This window comes from Homo sapiens, chromosome 4, assembly GCF_000001405.40.
Source record: "Homo sapiens chromosome 4, GRCh38.p14 Primary Assembly".
Taxonomy (NCBI): Eukaryota; Metazoa; Chordata; class Mammalia; order Primates; family Hominidae; genus Homo; species Homo sapiens.
In genome coordinates this window covers 56,496,390-56,504,426 of record NC_000004.12, presented here as the reverse complement: position 1 = coordinate 56,504,426, position 8,037 = coordinate 56,496,390, and the positions used below count along the sequence as shown (strand labels likewise).

Sequence of the window (8,037 nt, the reverse complement as noted above, 5' to 3'; positions counted from 1 at the left end):
AACTCCTGACTTCAGGTAATCCGCCTGATTGGGCCTCCCAAAGTGCTGGGATTACAGGCATGAGCCACCGCACCCGTCCAGCACAATTATTTTTTGAGACGGAGTTTCACTCTTGTTGCCCAGGCTGGAGTGCAGTGGTCCGATCTCAGCTCACTGCAACCTCTACCTCCCAGGTTCAAGCGATTCTCTTGCCTCAGCCTCGCACGTAGCTGGGATTACAGGCATGAGCCACCATGCCTGGCTAATTTTGTATTTTTAGTAGAGATGGGGTTTCTCCACGTTGGTCAGGCTGGTCTCGAACTTCTGACCTGAGGTGATCTGCCCGCCTCGGCCTCCCAAAGTGCTGGGATTACAGGTGCGAGCCACCGTGCCCGGCCACAATTATTTTTCAATGTAATAAACTTATTTTCCTTCATTGTATCTGTTTCAAATAGACTTGTAAGGAACAATGAATAGCAGGTTCCAGAAGGCTTGAGTGATGCAATGATATTTAAGGTTGGCTGTTCCCAATAGCATTGGAATTGCTATGCTTAATGACTTTTTCAAAGGTTTACTTCTGTTTATACACACACCAAGATGAATTTTCAGTAAGTTTACACGGGGTTCTCTCAATCCCATTAGATTAGTTTTATGGGTTTGCTAAGAGGGACAGTACACACAATTTTGATACTCAGCTTAAAAGAAAATTCTTGGTTATACTAACCAGGAAGTCCTCCATAAAATGCCAACACCCAAAACACCTTAATCCATATTCACTGCTAAAATATTTTATTTTAAAATGTACCACAGTGAATGGATGTATCCATACTGGTTCTTATAAATGTACACATACACATCCATATATTTGACAAAGTATATATATGAACTGGTTAAAGACCTATCCAAAAGAGGAAATATTTCTAGAAAGTTCATGTGTTTATACTTCATTTGACAATTAAAACTTATTTGAACTGATGAAGTTTTAGTTGCTTAGCAATGACTAATAATACCAATGCCTGTCAATAATGACAACTAAATTGAGAACTATAAATTTCACTGCTGTGCCTTGGGTCAAAATTTTCAATGATGGAATCCTAAATAAGTAACAGTTATTCCTATAATGGGGTATATATTCAGAAGGAATAAATACCTGCCACTATTACCAAAAGACTGTTCTCTGTAGAGCTCAAAAAAAGGATTATGCCACAATACATAATTTTTATTTAAAAAAGATCTCTTTAGATGCCACTGCAAATTCTGCTTTTACTAAACAGAAAGGCAGCACCCCATTTCTTTCTTGTAAAGGAGGAAAGTCTTTCATAAAAAACTCTTTGAAGAAGTTTTGGTAGTATGTTCAGAGTCAAACACAGCAGCACTTTATTAACAAGGACAGAGTAATATAATCACAAGGAAATACTTGTTAAGTCTAAATTAAATGATATCTTGGGCAGCATAAAATGAATACTAACAAGGGCAGGCATCTCAATATGTCTGTCTCACAGCTGTTCAATGTGAAAGTAGTTTGTAAGCAAGGAAAGACAAGAGCAACATTTACACCACAAATTGACTGTAAAATACTTCATTACATTGAGAAAGGTAATCAATGGTCAAAATCCATAACCAGAAGGAGACACCATTTGAGTATCTATCAATGGGCCAAACAGACCTGTTAGATTTTAATACTGCCTGGTATGCAACTCAGATACTGATTTCTTCTCTATGGAGGAAGCCAATGTTCATGTTCTTGATAACAGTCATTAATCTTTCTGATTGAGACAGTCCAAACCCATGTGACCTCAGAACACTGGGTCTAAGAGTGAACTTCTTACATTGATATATTTTCCTTGAGTTCTTTCATGGTGCTGTATCAGCATGCTACCATAATCTGAAAATGACATGGGGCACAAAGGAGCCATATATATATATTTCATGTTTATATATATATATATATGTATATATATATACATATATATATATATATAAACATGAAAAGTATCCCATATTCCAGTATCACATGACAGAAAATTTATGGTTAAATTATTTAAGACATTTACTTTATTTTTCTTGTGGCCATCCATTTAGTGAAGAACATCAGTGTATTAAGAAGGTCCCTCTTTATCACATGATATTTCTAAGCAGATATTTAGGAATGCTCAGAAGATTCCACTTTCAGTCTCCTAAGACATAATTTAAAGTGGGACTTGAACAGAAACAAGTATCTTCAGACTCCAGCTGAAATCATAGAAGTAGTTTCTGTTTAAATCCTGGGAAACCTTAGATAAGGTATGTGAAACTGAAAAAAGATCAAATCAGCACACACAGATAAAGGATACAACAGATACCAAGATGGGTAAATGCCCAATTATTTTCAGTCCTCATAATCTGTACAAAGCTATGAGGCAACCAGTAGGCCATATCTCACTAGGCAGACTTTGAGGAAGATGTTTCCCTATTTGAAACACAAGAAATTATGAAAATATGGAGATGAAGAGGGAGTAGTTCTGTGCTTCTTGCTGTGTTACCTTTATTATATTCCTAGTGTCACTGACACTAGTTTAAAAACAGCCTGCAACAAGAATATTCTCATCACCAGCCACCTTTTCCACCTTTCTTCTTTTTCTGTTGCTGTTTCTTTTTTGTTGCTGGAGCCCCTGCAGGTTTCTGGTGTCTTGGGGGTATGATGTTACTTGTAGAGGCAGATACTGTTGCAGCACTGCCAGGTCTTGGGGAGGTGGGTGGGCTGCTCACAGTTTTACTGGCATCCCTGAAATCATCAGATCATTTTTGGTCACTCATATATTCAACGAAGGAAGAGTATAAAAATGTATGTACATGGGTTTTACTTATCACACTTAACAATCTCCCACACATTTTCTACTTCTTTTAAGGTAAGCTCCCCAACTCCCTATCGACTTTTCTTTTGAATAACATTTTCACTGTTTTTATTGAAGAAAAGTAAAACATGGTACACATGCCAAGTTTTAGAAAGCGTAGAAAATAAAAAATTTTATTTTTTTGAGACAGAGTCTTGCTCTGTCCCTCAGGCTGGAATGCAGTGGCACCATCTCAGCTCACTGCAACCTCCATCCACCTCCTGGGTTCACGTGATCCTTCTGGGTTCACGTGATTCTCCTGCCTCAACCACCCGAGTAGCTGGGATTACAGGTGCGCACTACCACACCCGGCTAATTTTTGTATTTTTAGTAGAGACAGGGTTTCACCATATTGGCCAAGCTATTCTCGAACTAGCAACCTCAAATGATCTGCCTGCTTTGGCCTCCCAAAGTGCTGGGATTACAGGCGTGAGCCACTGCGCCCGGCCAGAAAAAATTTTTTAAAATAACCTGTCATCCACCATGTAAAACGTATTAATACTTCTAACACTTCTTTCTAGTCATATTATTTATTTACATCTGTTTATCTAGATATTTATTTAGTTGAATGACTCAGTGTATTTAGTTGCCTTGAGACTTTTAGTTTTTATAATAGTTTTTACTATATATATTTCACAATATATATTTGATTATATTGTAAATACTTAAAACTATTTGACTGAATTGTAAAAACTAAAGGAAAAACTAGTCTAAAAAGGCAATATATTTTCTTTCATTTGCATAAGTGTAGTATAAACATTTATCAAAGATACATCACATTTCTCATACTTTATATTAACAAATTCTCACTAATAGCCTTGAGTCAATCTAGAAACAACGTATGTTCTAAGTGCCCTCAATTGTGGAGCAATAACTTACAGTTCAGATGAAGCTCCTGCAGTTGCTCCCTGGGTCCCTTTTCCAATCTGATCCTTCTTTTTACCCTTCTTTCTTCCCCGGTAGTAAGAACGTTCTCGCATTGGCAGCCATCTTTCTGGATCTGGGGTAACTTTTGGGTCATAATTCTTAGGCAATTTTCCTGCATAACGATTATAAAGAAATGAGAGATGTGTCATAATATTTTCAAGATAGTTTGTTTAAACGATGTCTCTAAGCCTGGGAATAAATAACATTAAAATGGAAATGAATTTATTTGAGAAAGTTTAGTTTGTATAATCTAGCAGGCGAAATGGTCTTTTTTTTTAAATTATTATACTTTAAGTTCTGGGATACATGCGCAGAACGTGCAGGTTTGTTACATAGGTATACATGTGCCATGGTGGTTTGCTGCACCCATCAACCCGTCATCTACATTAGGTATTTCTCCCAATGCTATCCCTCCCCTAGCCTCCCACCGCCCCCCGACAGGCCTGGTGTGTGATATTCCCCTCCCTGTGTCCATGTGTTCTCATTGTTCAACTCCCACTTATGAGTGAGAACACGCGGTGTTTGGTTTTCTGTTCCTGTGTTAGTTTGCTGAGACTGATGGTTTTAAAGCTTCATCCATGTCCCTGCAAAGGATATGAACTCATCGTTTTTTATGGCTGCATAGTATTGATGGTGTCTATGTGCCACATCTTCTTTATCCACTCTATCATTGATGGGCATTTGGGTTGGTTCCAATCTTTGCTAATGTGAATACTGCTGCAATAAACATAAGTGTGCATGTGTCTTTATAGCAGAATGATTTATAATCCTTTGGGTATATATCCAGTAATGCGACTGCTGGGTTAAATGGTATTTCTGGTTCTAGGTCCTTGAGGAATTGCCACACTGTCTTCCACAATGGCTAAACTAATTTACACTCCCACCAACAATGTTAAAGTGTTCCTATTTCTCCACATCCTCTCCAGCATCTGTTGTTTCCTGACTTTTTAATGATCGCCATTCTAACTGGTATGAGATGGTATTTCATTGTTGTTTTGATTTGCATTTCTCTAATCACCAGTGATGATGAGCTTTTTTTCATGTTTCTTGGCCACATAAATGGCAGTTTTGAGAAGTGTCTGTTCATATCCTTTGCCCACTTTTTGATGGGGTTTTTTCTTGTAAATTTGTTGAAGTTCTTTGTTGATTCTGGATATTAGCCCTTTGTCAGATGGACTGCAAAAATTTTCTCCCATTCTGTAAGTTGGCTGTTTACTCTGATGATAGCTTCTTTTGCTGTGCAGAAGCTCTTTAGTTTAATTAGATCCCATTTGTCAGTTTTGGCTTTTGTTGCCATTGCTTTTGGGGTTTTAGTCATGAAGTTCTTGCCCATGCCTATGTCCTGAATGGTATTGCCTAGGTTTTCTTCTAGGGTTTTTATGGTTTTAGGTCTTATGTTTAAGTCTTTAATCCATCTTGAGTTAATTTTTGTATAAGGTGTAAGGAAGGGGTCCAGTTTGTTTTCTGCATATGGCTAGAATCCTTTCCCCATTGCTTTTGTCAGGTTTGTCAAAGATCAGATGGTTGTAGATGTGTGGTGTTATTTCTGAGGCCTCTATTCTGTTCCATTGGTCTACAGATCTGTTTTGGTACCCGTACCATTCTGTTTTGGTTACTGTAGCCTTGTAACAATAGTTTGAAGTCAGGTAGCATGATGCGTCCAGCTTTGTTCTCTGCTTAGGACTGTCTTGGCTATATGGGTTCTTTTTTGGTTCCATATGAAATTTAAAGTAGTTTTTTTCTAATTCTGTGAAGAAAGTCAATGGCAGCTTGATGGAGATAGCATTGAATCTATAAATTACTTTAGGCAGTATGGCCATTTTCACGATATTGATTCTTCCTATCCATGAGCATGGAATGTTCTTCCATTTGTGTCCTCTCTCATTTCCTTGAGCAGTGGTTTGTAGTTCTCCTTGAAGAGGTCCTTCACATCCCTTGTTAGTTGTATGCCTAGGTATTTTATTCTTTTGTAGCAATTGTGAACGGGAGTTCACTCATGATTTGGCTCTCTGCTTGTCTACTATTGGTGTACAGGAAAGCTTGTGATTTTTGCACATTGATTTTGTGTCCTGAGACTTTGCTGAAGTTGCTTATCAGCTTAAGGAGATTTTGGGCTGAGACGATGGGGTTTTCTAAATATACAATCATGTCATCTGCAAACAGAGACAACCTGACTTCCTTTTTGTTTGAATATCCTTTATTTCTTTCTCTTGCCTGATTGCCCTGGCCAGAACTTCCAACATTATGTTGAATGGGAGTGGTGAGAGAGGGCATCCTTGTCTTGTGCCGGTTTTCAAAGGGAATGCTTCCAGCTTTTGCTCATTCAGTATGATATTGGCTGTGGGCTTGTCATAAATAGTTATTATTATTTTGAGATACATTCCATCAATACGTAGTTTATTGAGAGTTTTTAGCATGAAGGGGTGTTGAATTTTATTGAAGGGGGAAAAGGCCTCATTTCTCAGCATGACAAAAAAATTCAGAGACCATAAAGAAAAAAACTTCACAGATACATCTATAAAAAAATGTTAAAATCTTCATTTAGTAAAAAATATATTTCTAAGAAAAAATTTAAAATACAAACTATATAATAGAGGAGTGGAAAAAAATCCTTAATATAGAAAGAATTCTTGCTGATCACTATGTAAACCACTCAAAGAAAAATGGACTCAGTTATAATTAAGGTAGGCTAGGAGAAAGGAAAGTCATTCATCTTCTGAACAGATGTTCACCCTCACTAATTAAAAATGAGAAGGGTAAAAAACTCTATCAGACTTGCAGTAATACCCAGTGTTGGTGAAATGGTGAGAAGCACTCACCAACACTATACTAGGGGAAGTGTATACTGGTATAGCCTTTGTGGAAAGCAATTTAATCTGGCAGTACCATTAGAAATTTATAGACTTCTAGAAATTTATCCTGCAGAAACCCAAGAGATACAAAGTTAAGAACAGAATATTCTCGGTGATACTCCTTTTCTTTTTTTTTAAAGATGGATAGGGCAAGGTATGGGTGGGCTGATATTCTTTAAGATGGCAAAATAACTTAAATATCTATCAATGAAGATGATTACATTATAATATGCCCAAACTATAGCAAGCTATTCAATTGGTTAAAAACTGAAGTGCAGGCCGGGCGCAGTGGCTCACGCCTGTAATCCCAGCACTTTGGGAGGCCGAGGTGGGCAGATCACGAGGTGAGGAGATCGAGACCATCCTAGCTAACATGGTGAAACCCCGTCTCTACTAAAAATACAAAAAATTAGCTGGGCGTGGTGGGGTACGCCTGCAGTCCCAGCTACTTGGGAGGCTGAGGCAGGAGAATGGCATGAACCTGGGAGGTGGAGCTTGCAGTGAGCCGAGATAGCGCCACTGCACTCCAGCCTGGGCAACAGAGCAAGACGCGGTCTCAAAAAAAAAAAAATAAATAAATAAAATAAAATAAAAAATAAATAAAGTGAAGTGCATCTATTAATTTGGAAAAATGTTCTTCACAATTCAGTCTAAAGTAGAAGATTAAAACAAACAAATTATATTATGTTCAAAACAATTTTATAAAAACTTTGAGTACCTAATGATACGTTTGATTCTGTATATACATATAAACACACATAAAAAAGTTAAGTAATTGTCTCTGGGAGCATGCTTTTTTTTGGGGGCAGGGAGAGGGTCTCACTCTGTCACCAGGCTGGAGTGCCGTGACGCAATCTCAACTCACTGCAACCTTGGCCTCCCGGGTTCAGGCGATTCTCCTGCCTCAGCCTCCCAAGTAGCTGGGATTACAGGCACGCATGAGTACTGCTCGGCTAATTTTTATATTTGTACTAGAGATGGGGTTTCACCAGGTTGGCCAGGCTGGTCTCGAACTCCTGACCTCAAATGATCCACCCACCTTGGCCTCCCAAAGTGCTGGGATTACAGGCGTGAGCCACCATGCCCAGCCGGGAGCATGAATTTTGGGCAGGGAATTTTACACTCTTTAGGCCACTCTATAATGATAGATAACAACTACCTTTGTTTTTAGAATGAGCATATATCACTTGTAAATTTAAAAAAATATTCATCTGGAAACTATAAAAATAGAAAAGAAAGTAAAATTTTAGGTTATTACCACCTACAGTCATCAGCTGTTTCCTTGCAGTATTACTAATGCACAAAACAAATATTAAATGTTTGCCAATTTTCAAGTACTGTGACAAAAGAACCAATAAGACTTCCAGTTAAAGATAGTGAAATGGATACAAACATTAGCTTGTGTA

At 37.9% G+C, this 8,037-nt stretch overlaps 1 protein-coding gene across 3 annotated transcripts in view; it reads right to left on the bottom strand.

The window, feature by feature from the left end:
- SRP72 (signal recognition particle 72) overlaps positions 746-8,037 on the bottom strand; it is a 36,065-nt gene continuing 28,773 nt past the window's right edge. For all 3 annotated transcript variants that reach the window (NR_151856.2, NM_006947.4, NM_001267722.2), the window contains 2 exons: positions 3,732-3,891; positions 746-2,743 (listed from right to left, as the gene is read on the bottom strand). Coding sequence is in view for 2 of the 3 variants with exons in the window: in NM_006947.4 (NP_008878.3) it covers positions 2,566-2,743; positions 3,732-3,891 (338 nt within the window). In the remaining variant the exon portion in view is untranslated. The remainder of the gene's footprint in view (positions 2,744-3,731; positions 3,892-8,037) is intronic.